This window comes from Homo sapiens, chromosome 17 (assembly GCF_000001405.40).
Source record: "Homo sapiens chromosome 17, GRCh38.p14 Primary Assembly".
In the NCBI taxonomy this organism is placed as follows: domain Eukaryota; kingdom Metazoa; phylum Chordata; class Mammalia; order Primates; family Hominidae; genus Homo; species Homo sapiens.
This window is the reverse complement of record NC_000017.11, coordinates 2,981,920-3,008,694: the sequence shown is the minus strand read 5'-3', so window position 1 is coordinate 3,008,694 and position 26,775 is coordinate 2,981,920. Positions and strand designations below refer to the sequence as shown.

Sequence of the window (26,775 nt, the reverse complement as noted above, 5' to 3'; positions counted from 1 at the left end):
CTTCCTTTAGCAGCTCCTTCTAGTTAGTTTTTTTCCCTTGGCAAAGTCCAAAGGGACTTGCCTATAGTTCCATGGCCCCTGCCCAGCCAGGTCTTCCAATGCTCGGCCGGCTGGCTAGGAAGAATCACTGTGGCACCCACAGCAGCTACGAAGACCCGTAAGGGCTGTGGTCCTCGCTCCTGCCATTCTGCCCTGGGCTCCCCAACCCAGGAGGAGGCAGGTGAAAGCGCCGATGTTCCTGGCTTGCTCCAGCTCCTCTCCTACTGCTACCTCTTTACCTGTCCCTGCTTAACAGACTTCTGGGCCCGGAGGAGATGACCCAGATAGAGGAAGGATGGGGAGGCTGCTGAGAAAACTGCTGGCTGCTCCAGCCTCACACACTTCCTAACGGCCCTGCCCTTTGCAAACACCTAGGATACCCATACGTTTCCTGTCACCCCTCCAGCTGGCCCTTGGGCTCTGGGATCAGTATCCCATGGACCTTGGACCACTTCCTTTCTTCCCCAATCCCAACCCCACAGCAACCATCAGTCACTCTGACGCTCATACCTTAAAAGACTCCAGGAACCCCCCGTGGCCTCCATTCTCAAACTTGTCCTCCTCTGGGCCCAGTCCCAGCATGGCCTGTGTGTGGGCGTGGAGCTCATCGTGAAGGTTGTCCAGGAGGGCAGCCCTGGTCCGGTCCTAGAAGGGAAGAGGGTGGGGATGGAGAAGCTGGCTCTGAGAGCAGAGATGTGCCTGCTCCTTGTGAGCTCCAGACACCTGGCCTGGAGGCTGACATTCTGCCCAGCCCGGCCCAGCAACGGTGTGGACCTACTGCTGAGCTGAGCTTCGTGCTCACAAATGCTGCAGCTAAGATGAAGGCTGCGTGCTCGGCCTCCTGCTCTACTCCCCCTGCCCTTCTCCCTGGGTCGTCCCACCACTGCCACAGCTCCACCCTGGTGGTAGAGGAGCAGAAGGAAGAGTGAATCCCAGCCCGGCCCTCTGCCCCAGCTCCACATCCACGCACCCAACTCCCCACTGCTCCTCTCCATCCAGATGTTCGTCCAGAGCCATGCACATGGATGCCAGGGGCCGCTATTCACACAGATGAGGACTGGCCCTTTCAGCAACCCGGCCTTCGCAGGCACAACTTGGCCACCATGTCATCAAAGAGCCCAGGCCAAAGGCCCAAGAGTCACCCTACAATCAATCCCACGTCCCACAACACTTACAGCCAGGAGTCCACCAAGTCTTCCCAACCTTGACCCTAAACCATTTCCTTCCATACAGTATAAGCCTTTGTCATCTCTCCTGCATTCCTGTAAATAGCTTCTAACTGGCCGCCTTCCTGCACCTCTTGCCCTGCAACCTGTCCTTGTCACCATCGTTCTCAATGACACCACTGTCAGAGCAATCCCTCTGGCATACACATCGAGCCCCTCACTCTCCTGCCTAAGCGCTTTACCAGCAGCCCACCGTCCCGAGCTCAAAGCCCTTCTGGATCTGATCCAACCAACATCTCCGGCTGAGTCTCCACCATTCCAGCCCCCGTGGGTCCTTCAGCCACAGCAAACCCTCAGGAGCTCCCTCCTGACGTCAGGCTCTGGTTCTTCCTGACCTTTGCTCATGCTGTCTACCATGCCAGATCAGCCCTCCCTTCCCCACTCTTTCCTCCTGGCAGAAGGTTCATCTGATATCAAGATTCAGCTGTGCATGAGCCACCTCCTCCAGGAAGCCTTCCCTGAACACACCCTCTGTCCCCTACAGGCAGAAACAGTCACTATCTGAGCTGTGCTGACCTCCATCCCAGCCTAGTGCTGGCACACTGTACTATAACTATCTATTTAGTAATGACCCCCTGCCCCACCCCCCGACTACCCTGTGTACTCTCCAGGGATAGAAACTGTCTCACTTATCCCCATATCCCAGGGAACAGAATAGGGCCTGACACATAGTAGGTGCTTTAAAAATGACTGATTGGGCCAGGCGCAGTGGCTCACGCCTGTAATCTCAGCATTTTGGGAGGCCGAGGCAGGCGGATCACGAGGTCAGGAGATCAAGACCATCCTGGCTAACATGGCAAAACCCCATCTCTACTAAAAATACAAAAAATTAGCTGGGCGTGGTGGCGGGCGCCTGTAGTCCCAGCTACTCGGGAGGCTGAGGCAGGAGTATGGTGTGAACCCGGGAGGCAGAGCTTGCAGTGAGCCAAGATCGGGCCACTGCACTCCAGCCTGGGTGACAGAGTGAGATTCTGTCTTGAAAAAAAAAAAAGGACTGATTGGCCAGGCGCAGTGGCTCACGCCTGTAATCCCGGCACTTTGGGAGGCTGGGCCAGGCGGATCACCTGAGGTCAGGAGTTCAAGATCAGCCTGGCCAACATGGAGGAAACCCTGTCTCTACTAAAAATACAAAAATTAGCTGGGCGTGGTGGCGCACACCTGTAATCCCAGTTACTAGGGAGGCTGAGGCAGGAGAATCACTTGAGCCCGGGAGGCAGAGGTTGTGGTGAGTCCCAAGATCATGCCACTGCACTCCAGCCTGGGTAACAGAGCAAGACTCTGTCTCAAAAAAAAAAAAAAAAAAAAAAAAGATGGAGGAGCCCTGGATGAGGCTGGCTAACAGGTGGCCCAGCAGTCAGGAGGGAGACCTTCAGAAACCACACTCTCACCTCCAGCTTTGCAAACTTGTCCGACTTGCAGCAGGCGTTCTCGGCATTGGTGAGCTTGGTGAGCAGAAACTCCCTGAATTCCGGGCCCTGGAAGAGACAAGACGGACCTCAGGTCTGTCACTCTCGGCTGTTGCCAGAAGGTCTTCAGCCACAGTGACAGGCAGGCAGAGCCGGGGCCATGGGGAGAACCCCTGAAAAGTCCCTTCCGACAGCGGATCATTTCTAGCCCAGGCCAAGCCCACTTGCAAATATCCCAACAAGGAAACCCGCTTCCCTGGTCCTGGGAAGCCACAGTGGCACTTCCACGACTGGAGCTCATTCCTGCCCAAGGCTCCTTGACCGGGGCTCAACATAAAAGCCCGTCTTTCAGCAGAAAAGCAACCCCAGTGTCAAACACCCTGACAAGTGGTCCTATGCTGGGCCAGACTGGCAGCATGAAAGAGGTGGGGAGAGACCCCAAGAAAGGAGGTTCCCCCCAAAACCTGCAAAAGGAGCTCCCTAATGTTCCCAGCCTGAATTTGGCTCCATCCCAACCATTGCTACTCAAGCACTGAGACCTGGCATCGTGGATGCGAGAGGGGCAGAAGGAAGAGTGTCCTACCTTCTGGAAAACGGGGGGACTGGGCAGAGGTGGACCAAAGGTGGGCACATCTTCCCGCGCAGTGACAGAGACCTGAGTGAAACAGAGTCATGGTACGGACCTGGAGGGAAGAGACGAGCGCTGCCCCTACGGGAGCCACGCTCCTTACAAAGCTACTCACCTTCTCCCTCCTCCTCTTCCCAGAACACAAACAAAATACTCCTGTGAGCATCGCCAGCACAGGCCCTGACCCTGTTCCTAGAAGTGGGGCCGGACGGTGTGGGGCCATCCGCAGCCTCTCATCTGCATTCCTGGAGGCCAGAAGCAGGTTTGGCAAGATGACTGGACAGGGCTGGGACCCTAATTTTAATGCCATACAAGTGCCCGGGAGATGGCATCTCGTGACCTCATTCGACCGTGACGCTAATCCTACTGAGAAGGCACAGGGAGAACTGTTCTCCCTGATGAGGAAACAGATGCCCAGAGACACACAGAGAAGCCCCCAAGTCCCACAGGTGATTAGCCGCAGAGGAACAGAGCATCCAGACCTCTCCCGACCCGTCTCTGGGGTTCTCTTCCCAAGCCTGACTCCTCAGCTCGGCCATAAATCAGAATTGCTTCAAAATTGCTTCAGGTGTTTAAAAATACAGACTGGGTTCATGGGCTCTGGCCTAAACCTGCCGAATCGGAAGGGTAGGGCCCCCCGGAAACTCTCGTGCAGCCGGTGGACCCGTGTTCGGGAGCCCTGGCCCCACACACGGGGTCAGCCAGTCCTAGGCCCAGGCTAGGAACTGAGGGTGGGGCGCGCACCTCTGGCACCCTGAGTGAGACTGAGCTTTAGAGTGACGGCCTCGAGGTTCGCTGCATGGGGGTCGCCCAGGCGTGGGACGGGCCCCACACCCCGCCTTCCCTCTGCACAGAGGTGCCCTGACTTCACCTATTCTCAGCCCACGAGGCTGTGAGGCTCTCGGGAGACTGCCCTCCCTTCCCTACACAGCCGCTGACGTGAGCCCAGCCCTGGCGTGCTGCCAGCCTCCCCGGCCTGTGAAGTGGAGCAGATGCAGAGTCTGCCAGGCCGGGTGAGCAGGCAGCTGGGCACCGAGCCAAGGAAAGGCCCTGCCAGAGTCCGGAGGGGAAACGGAGCGGGAGAGAGCTGGTCAATACGGGCTTTCTCTTCTCAAGCTCCAGGCTGTCTGCCCAGCCCAAACTGCAGTGCCCCGAGTCAGGAAATGGTGCGCGTTCGGCTGACGTGATTTCTGGCTGGGCTCCAGCAGCTGAACCCGGTTCCCTACCACCACCCACCAGGCACCGGTGGCCCAGGTCAAGAATTCAGTCACAGAGCCAGAATCAGGGGTGGGGGTGTGGGAAGGCTATGGGGAGACTGCAGACCGTGGGCACCTGGGACAGAGGCCAGAGGGCAGCCCCAGCTCTGCCCTTCCCACCCCACTCCCCCTCCTCCTCCAGCCTGCATTAGAGTGGTCTGTGCCGACCGTGTAAGTGGCTTCAGACACATCCTCAAGTCCATCCAACCCTCCAGCTGGACAGTCCCACAGCAGAGCCCTGTGGGCCACACGGAGGACAGGGCCCTTCCTTGCGACGTGCGTTCACCTTCCATCCTCATTGTGCGCCTCTCTTGACCCCATTCCAACCAGGCGGCCAGGCCTTTGTTGTTCCCCCCTCTTGGGGACATCTGGGTCACTGGACTGAAAGCAGAAGTTGCCTGAACACAGCCCCACCTTCCTGTTTTCTAAATGCAGCGAGGGCCTCCAGCGAGGGCTTGGAGGGAGGGAGAGAGGCAGATGCAGGTGACTCTGGGGAAGGGACCTGCATGGCTGGAAGGAGGAAGGAGCTTGGTGTGGGTCATGAGGATGCACTGGGAACCTCAGAAAGCTTCAAACGTGACAAAGGCCCCACGCCCAAGAGTGGCCTGGGAGCCGCGGTGGCACACAGAGCATCGTCCGAGCAACAGACAAGTCGTGACGGGAAACGGGGAGGGGGCTACAAAGACAGGGCCCTCCCCGGCGGTGGGCTTCACCTGAGATTCCTGACACCTTTGAGGACTTCCGGAGAGGGAGGCAGGGATAGGGGGGAGGGAAAGGGGTAGTCCTGGTGATGGCTGAGCTGGACTTTCCTTCCAAGCAGGCAGGATGAGGACTACACTCATTTCTGAAAAATAATCCAGAGTGATGCTTCGTGCACACCCGACTCCGTGGAGCCAATTTCTCGCCTGCTCTGATGGCTCAATGACCAAGACCGCAAGCAGACCCAGACAGGACCTCAGCCACAGCTCCCTGGCTCTGTGGCCTCAGGCCTTAAGTGGGTTCAGCTCTCAGCTTCCATTTCCTCCCTCTAGCGAGAGGTCTTGTCTCACCAGGGGCTTGTCAGGATTCAAGACTGTGCGTCTAAGGACCCAGCACCGTGCCTGGCATGAGCAAGCAGCTGGTAAGGGGTAACCACTGTCGCCCAGTGGCCTTTTCACTTCCCCTGCTGACCTGCACCCAGTAAAGGGCTCCTGAAATAGAGTTTCCCCAAAGCACCTTGCAACCCACCACACACACACACACCCAAGCACGCCTCCTTCCCTCCCGCAGGATGTCAGGGCTAGCAGCCTGCAGGTGTCTAATCCAACTTCCTCATTTCACACAGACAAAACTAGAGGCCCAGAGAGGGAAGGAACAAGGTCACGCAGCAGAGGCAGTGCCAGGACCAGAACCCCAGGCAGCCCGGCCCCTCCGTGGACAGAAGAGGACCCCTTCCTGCACACACCCAACCCTGTCCCTCCTTTATACTCTTCTTTCTTCAGCTCACCCTCCCCAGTGGAGGCCTCCTGGGGCTTACTCAGTCCCAGAGGAAATCTCAGCCTTCTTTGCCACAGCCCCTGAGCCTGCAGGGGCCAGCTAAGGTCCTGCTTCACCCAGGCCCCCTGGGGGATCTAACCGGGTCCTCCTCGCAGTCTGCTAATTACCTGGGGTGCTGCCGGGAGTGTGGATGGACAGCGCTTTGGGGAGTGCCTTGGAAGGCTGGTCCCCCTCCCTGGCCTCATTCACACGTCTGGCCTTCCAGCCTCAGTGTCTGCCTGGCAGGTGGAGTGCACGATCAAGGTACCACAGCCTGCTCCTCCGGGAAGCCCTGCCCCCCTGCTTCTCATCACCCCTCTGAGGACAATGCTGTGCTTTGTGGCTTAGAAGAAAGAGTAAAGACAGCCAGGCATGATGGTTCACGCCTGTAATGCCAGCACTTTGGGAGGCCGAGGCCAGTGGATCACAAAGTCAGGAGTTCAAGGCCGGTCTGGCCAACATGGTGAAACCCCGTCTCTACCAAAAATACAAAAATTAGCCGGGCATGGTGGTGGGTGCCTGTAATCCCACCTACTCAGGAGGCTGAGGCAGGAGAATTGCTTGAACCCGGGAGGCAGAGGTTGCAGTGAGCCAAGATCACACCACTGCACTCTAGCCTGGGTGACAGCGAGACTGTCTCAAAAAAAAAAAAAAAAGGAGAAGAAGAGTGGGTAAAGACTTCTAGCACCACAGCTGGAGGTGGGGTGGCGCTTTTTTGGATCTCTGATTTTTCTCTGTATGAGTGCACCACTCGGCTAAGGTCTCGGGAAAGTGGAGAAGCTGGTTAGCTGAGATGCATTTCCTATTGGGAAAGAGAAGCAAATGCTAAACGTCTACAGGAGGCCTCGTTCTGCCAGAGGGTCTGGGAGCCCTCCTATCACATGGCTTCATTCCAAGGATCCTTCCCAGTAGTTCTTCCTCTTCAACTGTCTATTAAAAGAAGCAGTTGAGTAGTTCAGCTGCCCAGTGGCTGACCTGTACTCCCTGCTTCTTCTATCCCTTCTCCGGCATCAGGAAGGCCCTGAGGCTGATCTTGTTACCTCCACGAGCCTCACTTCAGCCTGGTGCTTGGACCTGCACTCCCTGCTTCTTCTGTCCCTTCTCCGGCATCAGGAAGGCCCTGAGGCTGATCTTGTTACCTCCACGAGCCTCACTTCAGCCTGGTGCTTGGACCTGCACTCCCTGCTTCTTCTGTCCCTTCTCCGGCATCAGGAAGGCCCTGAGGCTGATTCTGTTACCTCCACGAGCCTCACTTCAGCCTGGTGCTTGGACCTGCACTCCCTGCTTCTTCTGTCCCTTCTCCGGCATCAGGAAGGCCCTGAGGCTGATACTGTTACCTCCACCAGCCTCACTTCAGCCTGGAGCTTGGACCTGCACTCCCTGCTTCTTCTGTCCCTTCTCCGGCATCAGGAAGGCCCTGAGGCTGATACTGTTACCTCCACCAGCCTCACTTCAGCCTGGTGCTTGGACCTGCACTCCCTGCTTCTTCTGCCCCTTCTCCGGCATCAGGAAGGCCCTGAGGCTGATACTGTTACCTCCACCAGCCTCACTTCAGCCTGGAGCTTGGACCTGCACTCCCTGCTTCTTCTGTCCCTTCTCCGGCATCAGGAAGGCCCTGAGGCTGATACTGTTACCTCCACGAGCCTCACTTCAGCCTGGTGCTTGGACCTGCACTCCCTGCTTCTTCTGTCCCTTCTCCGGCATCAGGAAGGCCCTGAGGCTGATTCTGTTACCTCCACGAGCCCCACTTCAGCCTGGTGCTTGGACCTGCACTCCCTGCTTCTTCTGCCCCTTCTCCGGCATCAGGAAGGCCCTGAGGCTGATTCTGTTACCTCCACGAGCCCCACTTCAGCCTGGTGCTTGGACCTGCACTCCCTGCTTCTTCTGTCCCTTCTCCGGCATCAGGAAGGCCCTGAGGCTGATACTGTTACCTCCACCAGCCTCACTTCAGCCTGGTGCTTGGACCTGCACTCCCTGCTTCTTCTGTCCCTTCTCCGGCATCAGGAAGGCCCTGAGGCTGATTCTGTTACCTCCACGAGCCCCACTTCAGCCTGGTGCTTGGACCTGCACTCCCTGCTTCTTCTGCCCCTTCTCCGGCATCAGGAAGGCCCTGAGGCTGATTCTGTTACCTCCACGAGCCCCACTTCAGCCTGGTGCTTGGACCTGCACTCCCTGCTTCTTCTGCCCCTTCTCCGGCATCAGGAAGGCCCTGAGGCTGATTCTGTTACCTCCACGAGCCCCATTCCAGCCTGGAGCTTGGCGCACAGTAGGCACTGAGTAAGTCAACTTGCTTCAACCAACACTTGAATCGAGCAGCTGTTTGAAGTGAATGCCCATTTCACTCAAAGCAGGTGATCCTATAGCCTTCAAGAAATGGGCTGGGCACAGTGGCTCACGCCTATAATCCCAGGACTTTGGGAGGCAGAGGCAGGCAGATCACTTGGGGTCAGGAGTTCGAGACCAGCCTGGCCAACATGGAGAAACCCCGTCTCTACTAAAAATACAAAAAATTAGCTGGGCATGGTGGCAGGAGCCTGCAATCCCAGCTACTTGGGAGGCTGAGGCAGGAGAGTCACTTGAACCTGGGAGGCAGAGGTTGCAGTGAGCCGAGACTGCACCACTGCACTCCAGCCTGGGCAACAGAGCAAGACTCTGTCTCAAAAAGAAAAGAAAAGAAAATAAATGCTCACACCATGTCTTCGCCAGCTTCAGCTAAAACTGCTCAATGGCAGGGACACATGAGCCTGGGCATGAAGGAATCAGCCTCAACAGGAGGGGGTTGCTATTGGGTTTCTGTTGCTTGTTTTGTTTTATTTTGTTTTGTTCTGTTTTTTTTTTTTTTTAGAGACAGGGTCTCGCTATGTTGCCCAGGCTGGTCTTGAACTTCTGGCCTCAAACAATCCTCCTGCCTCTGCCTCCCAAAGCGCTAGAATTACAGGCGTACGCCACCGTGCCCAGCCTCTTTTTATTTTCTTCTGACGATTCACATCACATTTTAAAAGCTGACGTGAATTTTGCACTTAACTGAGTTGAACTGCTGTGGCCTCATGAACCCCAGGAATCAGGATGGGCTGAAATTATTTGACGGGAAACATTTTCAGGCCTCATGGTTACCCATTGGCAATCACAGGCTCATCTTTCCTCCCCCTTAGAACAGTGGTTCCTGATATTTTGCGGAGCAGGGAGCGCTTTGAGAATTTAAGGTATGGCCTCTCTTTTCAGGAATCCAAGGAAAGGCACAAATTCAGCATTTTGCATTTATCTGCAGGGAGTCAGAGACTGCCTAACCCTTGCCTTGAAAGCCTGCCTCAGTCCAACGCCCTTGAGTCCCATGCCCGCCACAGCACTGTGATACCAAGAGACTGTTGCCCAAGAGGTGGAGATTCTTTCTCGTGGAGCAGAGGAGGGAGGGTCAGAGATCCAGCCATGAGGAGTGGGGAGCGGGGGACTGCAGGGGCAATGAGCTGCCCTGTCTCGCTGTCATCTGCACCGGTGAGGATTTCGAGCCATCTGACAGACCCGTGACTGCTTGGGAGGTTCAGACCCAGGTGCTTGCGTATCTGCCTCCCTGGAGGTCTTTAAATTAAGATCCATCATTTGTCCAAAACAGCCAGGCCAGGGCCTTACCCAGTGGCCAGGGTCTACCAGGCCCCTCCTCTCCACCCTCACCATCAACATTTTTTTCTTTTTTTCCTTCGTTAGCACCCTTCTATCGCTACCCTTTCCTGCTCGTCCTTTCCACGCTCTTTCTTTATTCCAGCTCTGCCTTACTCGAGCAAATGGCATCACCAAATTCCAAATACTACACTCACAGCGAGCAAATGGCATCACCAAATTCCAAATACTACACTCACAGCGAGCAAATGGCATCACCAAATTCCAAATACTACACTCACAGCGAGCAAATGGCATTACCAAATTCCAAATACTACACTCACAGCGAGCAAATGGCATCACCAAATTCCAAATACTACACTCACAGCGAGCAAATGGCATCACCAAATTCCAAATACTACACTCACACCTCCTCAATCCTCAAGTGAGATGCCATTGAGCCCGGAGGCAGCAAGGGGGATCAGGTGGCCTTGGAAGGTCCTCCCTACCCAGAATCTAGCTCCAAACCCCAGAAACCTGCAAACTCATGGAGAATCTCTGACTGCTGAGGACTAGTGTCCTCTGATATCACAGCATCCACACAGGGTGAGGTGTCGAGGCCCACCACTCCCTCCAACAAGGCGTTCTCCTTACCTTGTAGGATGGGGTCTCTGTGCCTGGGGTCTCGACCTGCACGACGATGTAGGCATGTAAGAAATTGGAGGCTATCATGTCTGGGACAAACGGCGTGTTTTCCTCTTGGAAGATGATGGCCACGATGTCATTTCCAATGTGTCTCTTTCTCTGGAGCTAAATAAAAAGTGTTGAGAGGTTATAAGCCAGTTAGGAAAATCATGAAAGATGTTTTGGGGAAAGAGTGGGTTCACTTTCCTTTGCACACAGGAAAACTGAATTCTGAGTGAGAAGAGTTCGTGGTTGTTGTTTTGGAAGTTTAAGTATGAAAGCACAGTACCAATGCCAGGCAGCAAGGGGAGAAGTGCATGGAACACGCTTCGTGCTTTGTGTATCTTTTGAGTTGCTTTCCTATTTGGGGAAAACCAGGGGGGTTCTTCTTTCAATCTTTTTTTTTTCTTTTTTTTTTTTTTTTGAGACAGGGTCTCACTGTGTTGCCCAGGCTGGAGTGCCGTGGCACGATCTCGGCTCACTGCAACCTCCGCCTCCTGGGTTCAAGTGATTCTCCCACCTTAGCCTCCCGAGTAGCTGGGATTACAGACGCGTGACACTACACCCACTAATTTCTGTATTTTTTGGTAGAGACGAGGTTTCACCATGTTGGCCAGGCTGGTCTTAAACTCCTGACCAGCCCGCCTCAGCCTCCCAAAGTGCTGGGATGATAGGCATAAGCCACTGTGCCCAACCTTCTTTCAATCTTTAGAAGCCACCAAAAAGGAAAAAAAAAATGGGGAAGATGGCCAAGTCGTTAGGTAGAGGCTAGCGAGCATCTTACTGACCTCTACAGCATGCAGATCCCTGACTCAGGACTTGGCAAGAATATTTAAAAGGCAAGGCGGGGTCTTGCCCTGGTAGAGCCTGTCATTGATCTGGGAGAAATACAAACACAGGTGAAGCCACCTGAGAAAACTAACAAAGCCACCAGCCAGCAAGGGCTAAGTCAGCTGCTGTGCATGAAATCCCTGACAGCTCTGGAGACAGAGGCAAGGGCAAAATTACAGGGCTGGAAAGCAACCTGAGAGGGCTTCCTGGAGGAGGAGACGTGTCAGGGGGTCTTGAAGGTGTGAATGAGAGTGATGAGGTGGCAGATCATGACAGCACTGCTCACCCAGCTTGGCGTAGGTGGGATGGAAGGAGGATCCCAACCATAACTCCATATCCCAAGCAGGGCCAGGTGCTTCTGGGTGTGATCTCGGCCACCAAGCACCTGGTGTGTCCCTGGAACCATGTTGGGCTGTTCATGCATGATATCAAATGTTAACCCTGTCCTGAAGTTCAAGGCCGCGGTGAGCTATGATCGCACCACTGCACTCCAGCCTGGGTGAGAGAGTGACAGCCCTCCTCACACACACACAAAAACCCGCTCCTGTATGTCGAGTCCTGGCTAGGTGCCTGTCTATGCATTTGTTCCTTTGTTAAGCACCCACTGCATGCAGGCCCAATGCTCAGTCCCTTCACACTGAGTTTCTCATTCACTGAGCACCTGTTTTACACCAAGCACTGTGCTGGGCACTTTCACACAAATTGCCTCACTTACTCCACGCGCATCTTTCCATTTCTCAGGAAGAGAAACTTAATATTTACTCAGTCCCCGCCAAGAGCCGAGCCCTGTGCCAAGGTGTATTTCCCAAGAAACACACATAAGACTGAGAAGGCCCAGAGAGAACAGGCCTCAGGCCCAGGCCGGGGCAGCAGGTGAGAGAGGCCATAAGGGAACAGAGGGGCTGGAGGTGAAAGGTTGAATGAAAACCCACTTTGGATACAAAAGGATTTCTGCTTCCATTTGTTTCTGGAACATTCAGTAGCTATTTTAGAGCCAACTCATCATCTCGTTTGCCAATTTCCTTCTTTCCTAAGAAGCCAGGCACTATGTTTACAATTTTACATCTGTGCTCCCTCCCCAGTTCCTGCTCAGAGACACACAGGTCAGAGTTTGGGCAAAGGCCTGCCTGCATTTTCTTATTTTCCCAGACTGAAAAGGGGCAGAAGGCAGGCTGGGGGAACTGGGCTTGTAACAGCCAGGAACCAGCCGCGGCTCTCCCCAGGGATGCACGGCTGTCAGAGCAGCAAACGGGGGGCACGGCAGGAAAGCAGTGGGGACAGGGGTCTCGTCCAGGTCTCCCTAGTGGAGGTCAAGGCTGAATTCCCACAGGTGTGGTGAGAGAGGAGCCTGTGAGATGAGGAAGGCTGGGGGTGGGGAAGGATTCTCACGCAATAACCAGCCTTCCGTCACTGGGGCAGGAAGGGGGACAAAATGACCAGGGGCTGGACAGTGAACAGCTGTTCTATAGGAAGCCAGCCATGAATTGGGCATCGTATGAACCCTAGTCAGAAATGTATGTAATCCCCACAATCACCCTCTACCATGGGTGGTGTTACCCCCCATTTTATAGATGAGAAGGTTAACTGGCTTGCCCAGAGTCACACGCTCCAAAGTGGCACAGGCGGCTTCAGGCCCCCATCTGCAAACCCCACCATGCACCCTTTGCCACCACCCTCTATGACCAGGGCCCCCAGGCTCTGCCCTGGGCTCTGCCCCTGATAAACGGAGAAACCTCAAGGAAGTCTTGTCACCACCATGGGCTGCAGTTTTCCCATCAGTCAACGTGGAAGAAACACAAGCTCTGCCCCGCCTCCCGCCCAGGGCCCCTGAGGTGTGGCCTCGGCCAGAAACACAACAGAACGGACCGCTGAGGCACAGCCTCGGCCAGAAACACAGCAGAACGGACTGTGACGCTGCTGCGCAGCTGAACGAATGGCCGGCTACGGGAACGAATATGGGGACGGCCACAGCCTCTTAGCAGGTCAGACCAGAGGCAGGCCCTCACCTCGCCCGCCCTGGGCTCCCAAAGCCCTCCCAAACCAGGTTACCTGCTGGGCGTCTCCGTCGGTAAATGGCAGCTTTGTGGAAACGTGAAACATGATCTCCCTGTCCCGGAATGTTGTGTACACTGATTCCACCCCTGTCTGTCCGTGGGTCACGTCCAGGCCTCCTCGGAAACTGTCAACAAAACAGGGCAGGAGATGGGGAGAAAAGAGAGTGAGGCAAAGTGGGCAACTTAATGCAAGCTCCCCTAAGTATACGCAGCAGAGGATACGCAGCAGAGGAGACAGGAGAGCTGAGGGCAGAGCAGGCTGTGATGTGGGAAAAGCAGGTAGATCTGTTCTTCCAGGTATATCAGCGCTGGCACTCTACCCACAAACCCATTATTTAGACAAAGCTGGCCGGGCGCAGTGGCTCACGCCTGTCATCCCAGCACTTTGGGAGGCCGAGGCAGGCAGATCACCTGAGGTCAGGAGTTCGAGACCAGCCTGGCCAACATGGTGAAACCCCCGTCTCTACTAAAAATACAAAAGTTAGCCAGATATGGTGGTGCATGCCTATAATCCCAGCTACTCAGGAGGCTGAAGCAGGAGAATCGCTTGAACCCAGGAGGTGGAGGTTGCAGTGAGCCGAGATGGCGCCACTGCACTCCAGCCTGGGCAACAAGAGCAAGACTCCATCAATCAATCAATCAACCAATCAATCACAAAGCAGAACCTCCATCTCAAGCCTTGGCTGTGCCGTGTCCACACTTGCTGGTTATATGGGAAGGAAGCGCATCCATCCACAATCCCAGACAAATGCCCATCCCCGGTGCCATTCCCCCAAGGTGGGGCGCCGGCCTTTCTTTGCTCTCTGCAAGGCCATGTCCAAGTCCTCTGCCCAGAGCTAGGGCAGCCAGCCATCCTGGTGGCTGGTGGGGAGCCCCAGAGGAGCATCTGGAGTCAGTCAGAAGAGGTGGCAGATGCTCAACTTCTGCCTAGCTAGTCCCTAAGATACAGGCCCAACCACTGCAGCATCCCGCTTGGGAGTATCCAGGGAAGTCCCTTCTCTGGCTGTCTCCTCACAGGCAAGAAAGAAAAGCTCTAAGGAACTGGGTGGGCTTCCAGGAGTTGTCCCTTCTGCCTTTATACACACGGCTGCCAGCTTTGATCACAGTCTTCAGCAGATGCAGGTTCCTTTAAGAAAATGAAATAAGATGGACCTAGAATCTCAGCATCCCCAACACTACAATACAAGCCAGAAAATGTGCCCAGGCTGGCATGGCAGAAAGAATGCTGGACAGGGGGCAGGAGCTCCGGGTTCTAGACCTGCTTCTGCCACTAAATCAGCACGTGATCGTGGACAATTCATTTAGTCTCTCTAGGCCTCCATAAAATAAAGGGATAGAATTTCATAACTCTGAGGACCTTCTGGGCTTACTATACTGTATTTCAGCTATTCTAAGGCCCACGTTTAGTTTTGGTTTCAGTCAGGGGTTCACTCTGTCATCCAGGCTGGAGCGCAATGGTGTAATCATGGCTGACTGCAGCCTCAACCTCCTGGGCTCAAGCGATCCTCCTCGCCTCAGCCTGCCAAGTAGCGGGGACCACAGGAGCACACCACAATAGTCAGCTAATTTTTATAATTTTTCAAATTTTTGTTAATGACAGGGTCTCACCATGTTGCCCAGGCTGGTCTCAAACTCCTGGGCTCAAGCGATCCACCCGCCTCGGCCTCCCAAAGTGCTGGGCTTACAGGTGAGACCCACCATGCCTGGCCGTTTTTTCACATTTTAAAGTCACAGGATGTGTCTTATAATGATAGCATCTCAAAGTCAATGGAAGGTGGCAATATAAGAACAATAACAATCGTGACTAGCTAGCCCTGAACAGCACTTAAGTGTTTCGTGAGCATTATCTTATCTTTTATTTTTTATTTATTTATTTATTTTTTTTTTTTTAGACAGAGTCTCACTCTGTTACCCAGGCTGGAGTACAATGGCACAATCTCAGCTCACTGCAGCCTCCATCTCCTGGGTTCAAGCGATTCTCCTGCCTCAGCCTCCCAAGTAGCTGGGACTACAGGCACGTGCCACCACGCCCGGCTAATTTTTCGTATTTTTAGTAGAGACGTGGTTTCACCATGTTGGCCAAGATGGTCTCAATCTCCTGACCTCGTGATCTGCCCGCCTCAGCCTCCCAAAGTGCTGGGGTTATAGGCGTGAGCCACCACGCTCAGCCCATTATCTTATTTTAATCCCCCCAAAACCTTTTAGGGCTGACACTATCTTTACCTCCTTTTTTTTTTTTTTTGACAGAGTCTCCCTCTATTGACCAGGCTGAAGTGCACTGGCGCAATCTCAGCTCATTGCAACCACTGCCTTTTGGGTTCAAGCGATTCTCCTGCCTCAGCCTCCCAAGTAGCTGGGACGACAGGCACCTGCCACCATGCCTGCCTAATTTTTTTTTTTTTTTTTTGTATTTTTAGTAGAGACGGGGTTTCACCATATTGGCCAGGCTGGTCTCAAACTCCTGACCTCGTGATCCACCCACCTCGGCCTCCCAAAGTGCTGGGATTACAGGCGTGAGCCACTGAGCCCAGCCCTTTATCTCGCTTTTTACAGTGAGGAAACTGAGGCTTATAGAGGTCAAGTCACTTATCCAAAGTCACAGAGCTAATAAGTGATGGAGCGGGGGTTTTATCCCAGGTGTGACTGACCCCAGACAGCCGTGATGACCTTGAGGGAGGGAGAAGATGGAGGAAGAGAGGAAAGGAAAAAGAAGGAAGGACAGAGAAGGAAGCAGAGGAAGAAAGCAATTAGTGAATATCCGCTGTGTGCCAGGCACTGGGCTAGGTATTTTCACACGATGTGAGGAGCTCATGTCAATCTGGCTGCTGGGATGGAGAATTCTGGGGCCTGGAGCCATCTGCCAGCCACCAAGGACAAAACAGGCTGGCCAGGTCTGGACTCATCCCAAATGCGGTCTTGGCCAAGGAAAGTCAAGGGCCAGAGTTTTCCAAGCAACGGCCCCAATGTTCTATCTTACTGCCCACTTAAAAAAGCATAGACTGAGCCAGGCACGGTGGCTCACGCCTGTAATCCCAGCACTTTGGGAGGCCCAGACGGGCGGATCATGAGGTCAGGAGATCGAGACCATCCTGGCTAGCATGGTGAAACCCCGTCTCTACCAAAAATACAAAAATTAGCCAGGCATGGTGGCGCGCGCCTTGTAGTCCCAGCTACTCGGGAGGCTGATGCAGGAGAATCGCTTGAACCCAGGAGGCAAAGGCTGCCATGAGTCAAGATCGCACCACTGCATTCCAGCCTGGCAAAGCGCATGACTCCATCTCAAAAAAAAAAAAAAAAGCATAGACTGTTGTATGGACTCCTGCCTGAGGAACTGTTATATTTGCATCAGCTCCTCATGATGCATTCTTTGTGTATTATCTAAAATAGGTCATTTCAGGCCAGGCGCGGCGGCTCACGCCGGTAATCCTAGCACTTTGGGAGGCTGAGGTGGGTGGATTGCCTGAGCTCAAGAGTTCAAGACCAGCCTGGGCAACATGGCGAAACCCCGTCTCTACTCAAATACAAAAACCTTAGCTGGGCGTGTTGGCGGGCGCCTGTAGTCCCAGCTACTCCGGAGGCCGAGGCAGGAGAATCGCCTGAACCTGGGAGGTGGAGGTTGCAGTGAGCTGAGATCACACCACTGCACTCCAGCCTGGGCAACAGAGCAAGACTCTGTCTCCAAAAATAAAAAAATAAAAAATAAAATAAAATAGGTCATTTCCCCCCAAAACTGCACGGGGCTCCCTTTCCCACACACCTGGCAGGTGAGTGACAGGGAAGGTGGATTCCTTCCATTCTCAGTCTGGGCCAAAGGTAAGTAGGAAGGCACATCTGGGGCGGGGCCCAGGGCCGAACGTGAACGCCTTCAGGGGAATCTGCCACACTGGATCACTCCTTGGACCCCTGATTCCTTAGAAATGCAGTGAGCGACAAGACCCTGAAAAGCCATCCCTCATTTCTTGTGTGTTTTTAACTCACACGTGCTCCCTGAGGACTGAGCTGTCTTGCCCTTCCTCTAGTGCCCTTGTTGATGGAGCTGGAGCCGTCACTTGGCTAAAACCCACCCTTTGAAATCCTGCAGTGTGATCGTGTCCCCCAGCAGGTCCAAGAACTCCTTAAAAGCTGGGCTCTCCTCATTGTTCCCAAATAGCTCCTCCTCCAGGGTCTGAAAGAGAAACAGGAATAAGGGCAGGAATTAGAAAAATTCTTTCTGATGCTAAAGGAAGGAATATGGATGCCCAGGTACCTGGTCCCTTTCTTCCTTTCTCCCTGTCTCCCAGCACATCCACCATAGCTGCCCTCAGTGGGACTGGGGTGGAGAGAGGAGGGACTGATGGAGACTCACTCCCAGTACTTTGGGAGGCTGAGGCGGGTGGATCACTTGAGGTCAGGAGTTCGAGACCAGCCTGGCCAACATGGTGAAACCTTGTCTCTACTAAAAATACAAAAAGTAACTGGGCATGGTGGTGGGTGCCTGTAATCCCAGCTGCTCGGGAGACTGAGAGAGGAGAATCGCTTGAGCCTGGGAAGCGGAGGTTGCAGTGAGCCAAGATCACACCATTGCAGTCCGGTCTGGGTGACAGAGTGAGACCCCGTCTCAAAAAAAAAAAAAAAAAGAATAAAGAACTCTGAAAACTCTAAAGTAATCAAAACCACAATGATATACCACTTCCCACCCACTAGGATGGCCACAATGAAAAATAAAGGCAATAAAAGGCAATAACAAGTGTTGGTGAGGGTGTGGAGAAATCAGAACCATCACACGCTGCTGCTGAAAATGGAAAATGACGCAGCCACTGTGGAAAACAGTCCAGCAGTTCCTCAAAAGGCTAAATGCAGAGTCACTATATGATCTGGCAACAGCACTCCCAGGCAGGTCCCGAAAGCTAAACGCAGAGTCACCATATGATCCGGCAACTTCACTCCCGGGCATATACCAAAGGCTAAACGCAGAGTCACCATGTGATCCAGAAACTTCACTCCCAGGCATATATGGAAAGCTAAACGCAGAGTCACCATATGATCTGGCAACTTCACTCCCAGGCATATACCAAAGGCTAAACGCAGAGTCACCATATGATCTGGCAACTTTGCTCCCGGGCATGTGCCAAAGGCTAAACAGAGTCACCAAATGATCCAGAAACTTCACTCTGAGGTATATACCAAAGGCTAATCATAGAGTCACCATATGATCTAGCAACTTCACTCTCAGGTATACACCAAAGAGAAATGAAAACATGTCCACAGAAAATGTATGCATGAATATCAATAGCAGCACTATTCATAATGGCCCAAAAGGAGAAAGAACCCAAATGTCCATCTGATGAATAGATAGACAAAATGTGGGCTATCCACACAATGGAATATTATTTGGCCATGAACAAGGAACAACGTGCTGATACATACTACGACCTGGATAAACACTGAAAATATTACGCTGAGTGAAAGAAACCAGACACAAAAGGCCACATATGATGATTCCATTTATAAAAGGTCTAGAATAGGCAAATCTGTAGAGACAGAAATTAGATTAGGGTTGGCAGGAACTAAAGGAAAGGGGGATGGGGAGTGCCTGCTGGTGAGTGTGGGGTTTCTTTTGGGGGTGATGAAAATGTCTGGAGTTAGTGAGGACAGGTGCACGATTCTGTGGTTACACTACAAACCACTGAACTGCACACTTCATTGAGATATAAATTACATAACATTATGAATTATATGGTACAAGAATTATGCTGATGTGCTCAATAAAGCTGTTATTTTTAAAAATGTTTTTAACCCAACAGTTAAAAAAAAAAATCCATTTAGAAAATGGTCAAAAGACATGAAAACGGCCGGGCGCGGTGCCTCACGCCTGCAATTCTAGCACTATGGGAGGCCGAGGCGGGTGGATCACTTGAGGTCCAGAGTTCGAAACCAGCCTGGCCAACATGGCAAAACCCAGTCTCTACTAAAAATGCAAAAATCAGCTGGGCATAGTGGCACGTGCCTGTAGTCCCAGCTACCTGGGAGGCTGAGGTGGGAGAATCGCTGGAACCCGGGAGGCAGAGGTTGCAGTGAGTAGAGATCACACCACTGCACTCCAGCCTGGGTGACAGAGTGAGACTCTGTCTCAAAAAAAAGACATGAACAGGCATTTCCCCTAAGAGGATATACAGATGGCAAATAAGCACATGAAAAGATGTCCAACATCATTAACCATTAGAGAAATGCAAATTAAAACCATAAGGTGATACCACTACACATCTATCAGAATGGCTAAAATAAAAAACAGTCACAACACCAAATGCTGGCAGGTTATAGAGAAACTGGATCACTCATACACTGCTGGTGAGAAGAAACACTAGAAAACTGTTTGGCAGTTTTTTTTTTGTTTTGTTTTTGTTTTTTGAGACAGAGTCTTTTTGAGATGGAGTCTCACTCTGTCACCCAGGCTAGAGTGCAGTGGTGCAATCTCGGCTCACGGCAACCTCTGCCTCCCAGGTTCAAGCGATTCTCCTGCCTCAGCCTCCCGAGTAGCTGGGACTACAGGCGCCCACTACCACCTGGCTAATTTTTTGTATTTTTAGGAGAGACAGGGTTTCACCGTGTTAGCCAGGATGGTCTCAATCTCCTGACCTCGTGATCCGCCCACCTCGGCCTCCCAAAGTGCTGGGATTACAGGCGTGAGCCACTGCGCCCGGCCGGCAGTTTCTTACAAAACTAAACACATAATTACCATACAACTCAGCAGGTGTATTCCTAAGCATGTATCCCAGAGAAATGAAAACTTATGTTCACACAAAAACCTATATACAGATGTTCACAGCAACTTTATTCATAATAGCCAAAAATGTCTTTCAGTGGGTGATGGTTAAACACAAACTGTGGTACAGTTATAATACCACAGAGTACTACTCAGCAATGAAAAAGAACACAGTATTGATACACCCAAGAACTTGGATTAATCTTGCTGACTGGAAAAAAGCCAATCTCAAGTGGTTATACACTATATGACTACATTTATATACCATTTTTGAAATAACAATGTTTTAGAAGTTGGAGAACAGATGAGTGGTTGTCAGGGGTTACGGACTGGAGCTGGGAGATTGATGTCCACATCCTGGTTGTGGTATTGTGCTATCGTTTTGTCAGACATTACTTTGCGGGGAAAGTAGGTAAAGGGTACATGAGATCTCGCTGTATTATTTTTTACAACTCTATGTGAATCTACAAATACCTAAAGATAAAAAGGTTAGTAATTTTTTTTTTTTTTTGAGATGGAGTTTCGCTCGTTGCTCCAGCTGGAGTGCAATGGCACGATCTCGGCTCACTGCAACCTCTGCATCCCAGGTTCAAGTGATTCTCCTGCCTTAGACTCCCAAGTAGCTGGGACTATAGGCGCCCACCACCACTCCTGGCTAATTTTGTAAAAAACAAAGCTGAAAACAGTAGCAAGCTCTGCAAACAGTAACAGCCTTCAAACACTGCCTGATCAACAGGCTCTACCCACAGTAGCAGGATGTACAAACAGCTGAAGGCTCTGCAAACATGCACAGGCTGCCATGAAGAGCGGCAGATGATACAAAGACACTCTAGCCTACCCAATCACTTCAAGAGAATGTCTTCAGTAGGTAATTGTAACAATAACAACAAAAAGCAGAACTTGGGCTCCATGCCTTCAACAGGCAACAGAATCTGGTAGATTTCAATAATTTTATTTTGCTTTTTACAGTATTTTTTTTTTAGAATTACCTTCATTTCATGATACTGGTTTTCCAGTTAGAGGAGTGATATAAAATTTCCTTTAAAAATAAATGCATGTTGCTGGGTGCAGTGGCTCACCCCTGTAATACCAGCACTTTGGGAGGCCAAGGCAGGCGGATCACCTGAGGTCGGGAGTTCGAGACCAGCCTGACCAACACGGTGAAACCCCGTCTCTACTAAAAATACAAAATTAGCTGGGCGTGGTGGTGCCTGCCTGTAATCCCAGCTGCTCGAGGGAGCTGAGGCAGAATTGCTTGAACCCGGGAGGCGGAGGTTGCAATGAGCCGAGATCACACCTTTGCACTCCAGCTTGGGCAACAAGAGCAAAACTCCGTCTCAAAAAAATAAAAATAAAAATAAAAAATAAATGTATGTAAGTTTAAAACAAAACTTTTTAAAGAAAATATTTCGTTAAAATATTGTGATAAAGATCTTAACAGTGGCATAGGGTGCAACAAATGCTATGATACAGATCCTGGATATGGTCTGTGAATGTCTGAAGGCTGGGAAACACCGCACTCTAGAAGGAGTCAACAAACTGCAGCCCATGGGCCAAGTCTGGCCTGCTGCCTGTGTTTATCGATAAAGTTTTATTGGAACGCAGACAGGCCAACTCATTTATCTATTGTCTATTGCTACTTCTGCACCACCAAGGCAAAGCTGAGAGGCTGTCACAGAGACTCCAAGGCCCATGAAGTCTAAAAATATTTACTATCTGGCCCTTTACCCAAAAAAGTTTGCCAATCCCTGATCTATAGCATGCCATGAAGGCGTCACAACTCTAGCCACATGTCCTACTTGCCCCAGGTCATGAGGCCAGACTGTGGAAGAGCAGCTGCTTCCAGGCAAACTACATCTCCCACTAGAAAAACAATGCAGCGTGTGCTGTGGGACCTGCACTTCTCTTGCAAGATTCACATCCAGCCTGAGAGTAGTAGTATTGCCATTATTTTGATCCTGGCCTTGAGCTGGACTGTGCACTCAGGGAGGGGTCTTAGTCACCGTATCCCCCAGCATGCACAGCACAGTGAACAGCAAACACGAGAGTTAGGTGAGGCTCATTTATACCCAGAGACCAGCATAGGGCTTTGATGCAACAAATGTTCATATTAAATGTCCCCCAGCTGCAGGTTTGCAAAACAACAATCTGCCTAGGTTCTTAAAAAAAAAAAAAAAAATTATCTTCTTGGCTTTTTCCTCCACAGCAGCATCAGGTACATAAACAATACACAGACTCCCTCTCGGAGACGGATGGCTCATGTTCAGTAATTATAACTTTGCTGGAACATTGGATTATAATCAGCTTATAAGATCCGCTTTGGTAAATTCCACAAGCAAAGAACTTTAATTAGGGGGTTTTATTAGCAAAGCTGTATAAAATAAAAATGTAATATGTGAAAATGATTATAGTAGCTACCTGAATAATCTCCCTTAACTTATAAGATTCATCAGTGTTCGTCTTGCAGATCCTAAACTCTTCATATAATTAGAATATTTTTAAGCAAACGCATGTCTCTTAAGGGCCAATATCTCTAAATGAGAACATCAGGTGTCGTCTAACCAAGAAAGATACCATCATGCAAAAAAATACAAATAGTATCAGAAGATACTATTAACCTGCCATTAGTAGGGCCAACATTTTTATTCGTTCATTAACTCACCTAACAGTGGAGTGTATTTATATGAAGGTGTATTTCTATGCTAGGCTCTTAGATGATACAAAGATGAAATGGGTGTGGAACTTTTCTCTCAAAGAGTCTCGGTGAGGAAACAGTGTGTTCAGCTAACCCCTCTACTTGGGATGTTAATAAATGTTCATGGTAGGAAAGAGGTAGGGAAGATGGGAAGTTTGTGTCCGTAAGTATGGAAACCACTAAGTTCAACAAAGTTATAAAGAGCCCTTTACCTTGGGGGTTCTTTAAGCCTTTAAAAGGTTCCCACACAAGTGACAACCCCTCCCCAGGTCATTTGCTCACAGAGTACACCATCAGACTCGCATTCATGAAACACACTTTGAGAAACATGGTTCTGGCCAGTTAACTCCAAAGCAACGTGTGAGGGCTACAAAACACAGAGGCTGAGCAGTGGTGTGCTGGCATATTTTGAGTCACTGGCTCTCCAAAGGAGGAAGATAGAAACCCTGGTGTTTGCAAATTTCCATAGTGTAAATACTTCCACCATGGTTGACTTCAAGCTGCCAACATGATGTCACGGAACAGAGTTGTGAAGAGACGCACCCAGCTGGCTCCATCACATCACTCAAGTTTGGGGAGAAAAAGCTAATTCCCAGTGGGGAGAAATTTGGGCAAGGAGAGAGCAGCCTATGCTCCTCCATTCCCTTGACCTAGTCTGGTTTTTCTTATAACCAGCAGCCCATAAATACGTAGAAGACGAGGCAGCCAGGAAGAATGAGAATTTGCTATATTAAAAAAAAAAAAACATCACTGTTTAAGGACGTGCAGGCCTTTTTGTAAGAAGTACCCTTGCTGGAAAGTTCTGCCACCTCCAGTCTAATTCATACCTTAAATGTGACCGTTGTATTCCAAATGCTTCAGAACGCAGGTCAGGACTCCTGTGTTCTGGGTGGGGATAAAAAGAGTCCTAAGTGAGAAACCACGGGATACAGTCACCGGTATGGATGGTGCTGCTTACCTGCCTGGCTTTTTGATAAATGACTCCGAATTTGAATGTGTTGTTGACTTCATGCTCATCATAGGACACAATCATTTGGGAGGCCTGGAAAATGTGGCAAGAAAAAAAAAATCAACATTTGTTAAATTTGGAAGCAAGTGAGGAAGCACATGGCAGGGGAAGCATCCATTTGGGGAGAGAATGTGTTCCCTGGTATGAAACATCCACATACACGGAGGGAGAGAGAGAGAAATAATAAGTAGACAGTCAGGCCGCAGCTCCAAAGTCAGCTAGCTTCTAAAACTTGGGCTTCCCCAGTAGGAACCAAACCTCTGTATCACTCATTCCACTCCCATCCAGATGTGCCAGTCAAGGCTCGGGCACATGTGTCCAGCAGCTTACTTAACCCTAGTGTTGAATCTGTGGTGTAAAAAGTGAAGCCAAAACCCCAAAACTGGTCAGCAAGGATAACTCTAGTCCTAATTCCACCTCTAATCAGCAGCATGAGTCCGAGCAAGTCACCGCTCCTGACCAAACTTCAGTCCCCTCTGCATAAAATGAGAGGTCTCTAAGGAGACCACGCTAAGGAGGAACATACCCTAATACAATATGCAAAGAGGAAATGTTTAAAACCTGACTCCTGGTTCTATCTAATTTTCCGTTACGCATCATAGAGTTGATGACTGGGATCAGAAAAATTAAACTCCAAGTTTTTTCGGGTTTTGTTGTTTTTGTTTTTTGAGATGGAGTCTCGCTCTGTCACCCAGGCTGGAGTGCAATGGCGTGGTCTTGGCTCACTGCAACCTCCGCCTCCCGGGTTCAAGCAAGTCTCCTGCCTCAGCCTCCCGAGTAGTTGGGATTACAGGCCCCCACCATCACACCGGCTAATTTTTGTATTTTTAGTAGAGACGGGGTTTCACCATGTTGGCCAGGCTGGTCTCGAACTCCTGACCTTGTGATCCGCCTGCCTCAGCCTCCCAAAGCGCTGAGGTTACAGGCATGAGCTACCACGCCCAGCCTAAACTCTAGTTTTGAATCCACTGTTTTTACCTATGTAGCTTTGAGTGAGCTGCTTCTCTGGAGCTGAGTTTCCTCATCTGTTAAACGCAGATGTGTGGTTATGAAGATTCAAAAAGAAAGAACTGAGCACAGAGCAGCTATCATCATCATCAACACCATCATCATCTATATGACCCTCCAGAAATATCAGAGCTGAACCAGCTTACTGGGGGAAGAAAAGATCTGGGAGCTGTTGGGATAACCTCAGCAATAAAAAGGAGGGATTCTCAGTGTGGAGACTTGAAATTTGAACGTCCCTTCCAACTTTTACATTAAAAATAAAAAGACAAGAAAACTGAGTATCATTTTTCACCTGTACAAGGAATAGTAATGGATCGTCTTACAGTTGGTCTAGGAAAAAAACCTTGGTGTGTGTTATGGACAATTAACTGTTAAAGCTATTTTAAATTATCTGTACTTAGCAGAGTACTTTCGACTTGAGTGATCTGAGCTGAATTTGAAGACCATTAATAAGTTATGTTTGGAAGTTTTAACTTCAATGAAGTAATTATTTGCTACGAAAGACACAAACATTAAATTACTAAACAAAGATGGCGCAATATCTTTGTTTCTGTTTTGTTTTGTTTTTTATGACGCTCCTGAGAATCAACCCAACTGAAGCATGTCAACGCACTTGAATGAGAAACGTGTTTAGCGTCCAAAGAGCCCAAAAAGGCACCAGTGTGAAAGGTTCAATCTCAGAGGCTGGTCAATTACCGTGGCACACTTTCTGGTCACTTTGCACAACTTAGATTTGAAGGACAGCGGTGAAAACATTAAATGTGACATTTAAAAAAGAAAAAAAAAAAGGAGGGATTCAACCACGCGTTATGCGAGAGGAAGAACAAACCAGGAACGACTTATTGGCCGGAATCTGCGGCCTGTGTGAGGTTGCCACACACTGTGTGTCTCTGTGAGGCTCTCAGCTGTCAGCTGTCTGGGGAAACGGACGCTTCGCAGCTCCCCCAGCGACGGCGCTGCTGCCCGACCCTGGAGCCTCCACTCCTGCCTGGGTGAGTCACAGGGGAGGAACAGCTGCCCTGCCAGGGAGAGGCACCAGGCCATGGAGAACGTCCAAAGAACGTTCTAAACTCTGCAAATTTTAAAAACACACACATGCGTGCATCTCAGCCAGATGAACATCCCAGCCGGACTCAGCGGTCCTTCAGATACAGAAAACATGAAAATACAGCTGCTCTTCCATTATGACCAAGGCCCGAGGCTTTCCAAGGGATAGAGAGAACTCTGCAAATAAACACCATTGGTCCTCTCGGTGGCTAAGATTTGACAACCAAAATTGCCAAACCGGTAGTTAAGTTAGACCTTTATGATGGGATTTTAATGTCTGGTTAAACCCCACTCATTCAGTTGTAATTATAAAGGGGAGGTCAGTCTCAATGAGAGAAAATGTTCAATGAAGCGTAGCATACTCCTGGTATCAACAGATGCTAAAACAGCTAAACAGAGGCACGTGGAAGACGAAAGGCTCTGTGCAGGAAAGGACTCCGCCATTCGCTCAGCCACTGCAGATGGATACACGGCTGCTTCTGAGAGTGGCATGCCCAATCCTGAACACTGAAAGTGTTTGTTCCAGCCGGGCGAGGTGGCTCACGCCTGTAATCCCAGCACTTTGGGAGGCCAAGGAGGGCAGATCACCTGAGGTCAGTTCGAGACCAGCCTGGCCAACATGGTGAAACGCCCGTCTCTACTAAAAATACAAAAATTAGCTGGGCATGGTGGCGCACACCTGTAGTCCCAGCTACTTGGGAGGCTGAGGCAGGAGAATCGCTTCAACCAGGAGGTGCAGGTTGCAGTGAGCCAAGATCACGCCACTGCACTCCAGCCTGGGTGACAGAGCGAGACTCAGTCTCAAAAAAAGAGTGTTTGTTCCAGGGGATTCTGGATGTCTCTGCTGGAATGGGGCCTCTCTTCCTCACCAGACATTTCATCTCACGGGTCCTGGTTGTCAGAGTTGGGACTCAGAGGATAGACAGAGCCGGTCCCAGCAGGCCTCAGCCGCTGCAGCGTGACCCACGGCAGAAGCTCAGAAGCACAGCTCTGCTTCCGTTGTCCCTCTCCAGAGCCTGCTGGCCCATGAAGACGCAGTCG

General features: G+C 51.0%; 1 protein-coding gene across 16 annotated transcripts in view, besides 5 other annotated features; it reads right to left on the bottom strand.

The window, feature by feature from the left end:
- RAP1GAP2 (RAP1 GTPase activating protein 2) overlaps positions 1-26,775 on the bottom strand; it is a 282,097-nt gene that overhangs the window by 29,047 nt on the left and 226,275 nt on the right. For 14 of the 16 annotated variants that reach the window (XM_047435668.1, NM_001411048.1, NM_001438816.1 and 11 more), the window contains 7 exons: positions 23,629-23,712; positions 17,298-17,398; positions 13,229-13,358; positions 10,319-10,474; positions 3,255-3,326; positions 2,654-2,740; positions 550-684 (listed from right to left, as the gene is read on the bottom strand). In XM_047435668.1, the coding sequence (XP_047291624.1) occupies positions 550-684; positions 2,654-2,740; positions 3,255-3,326; positions 10,319-10,474; positions 13,229-13,358; positions 17,298-17,398; positions 23,629-23,712 (765 nt within the window). Of the gene's footprint in view, positions 1-549; positions 685-2,653; positions 2,741-3,254; positions 3,327-3,414; positions 3,545-10,318; positions 10,475-13,228; positions 13,359-17,297; positions 17,399-23,628; positions 23,713-26,775 lie in introns of those variants that run through there. The other 2 variants (XM_011523745.3, XM_024450659.2) reach the window with 2 other exon arrangements.
- Positions 4,727-4,776: an enhancer, noted in NCBI's record as "active region_11503". NCBI's record gives its function as "activates an Ori minimal core promoter by ATAC-STARR-seq in GM12878 lymphoblastoid cells {active_cell/tissue: GM12878}" and the evidence as "EXISTENCE:reporter gene assay evidence [ECO:0000049][PMID:35858748]".
- Positions 4,947-5,076: an enhancer, noted in NCBI's record as "active region_11502". NCBI's record gives its function as "activates an Ori minimal core promoter by ATAC-STARR-seq in GM12878 lymphoblastoid cells {active_cell/tissue: GM12878}" and the evidence as "EXISTENCE:reporter gene assay evidence [ECO:0000049][PMID:35858748]".
- Positions 5,987-6,156: an enhancer, noted in NCBI's record as "active region_11501". NCBI's record gives its function as "activates an Ori minimal core promoter by ATAC-STARR-seq in GM12878 lymphoblastoid cells {active_cell/tissue: GM12878}" and the evidence as "EXISTENCE:reporter gene assay evidence [ECO:0000049][PMID:35858748]".
- Positions 12,991-13,491: an enhancer, noted in NCBI's record as "H3K4me1 hESC enhancer chr17:2898498-2898998 (GRCh37/hg19 assembly coordinates)". NCBI's record gives its function as "activates a minimal SCP1, AML or CMV promoter by ChIP-STARR-seq in primed H9 embryonic stem cells {active_cell/tissue: H9 hESC(primed)}" and the evidence as "EXISTENCE:reporter gene assay evidence [ECO:0000049][PMID:30033119]".
- Positions 13,741-13,917: a silencer, noted in NCBI's record as "fragment chr17:2898072-2898248 (GRCh37/hg19 assembly coordinates)". NCBI's record gives its function as "represses an EF-1alpha promoter that drives an FKBP-Casp9 reporter gene in an ReSE screen in HepG2 liver carcinoma cells {active_cell/tissue: HepG2}" and the evidence as "EXISTENCE:reporter gene assay evidence [ECO:0000049][PMID:32094911]".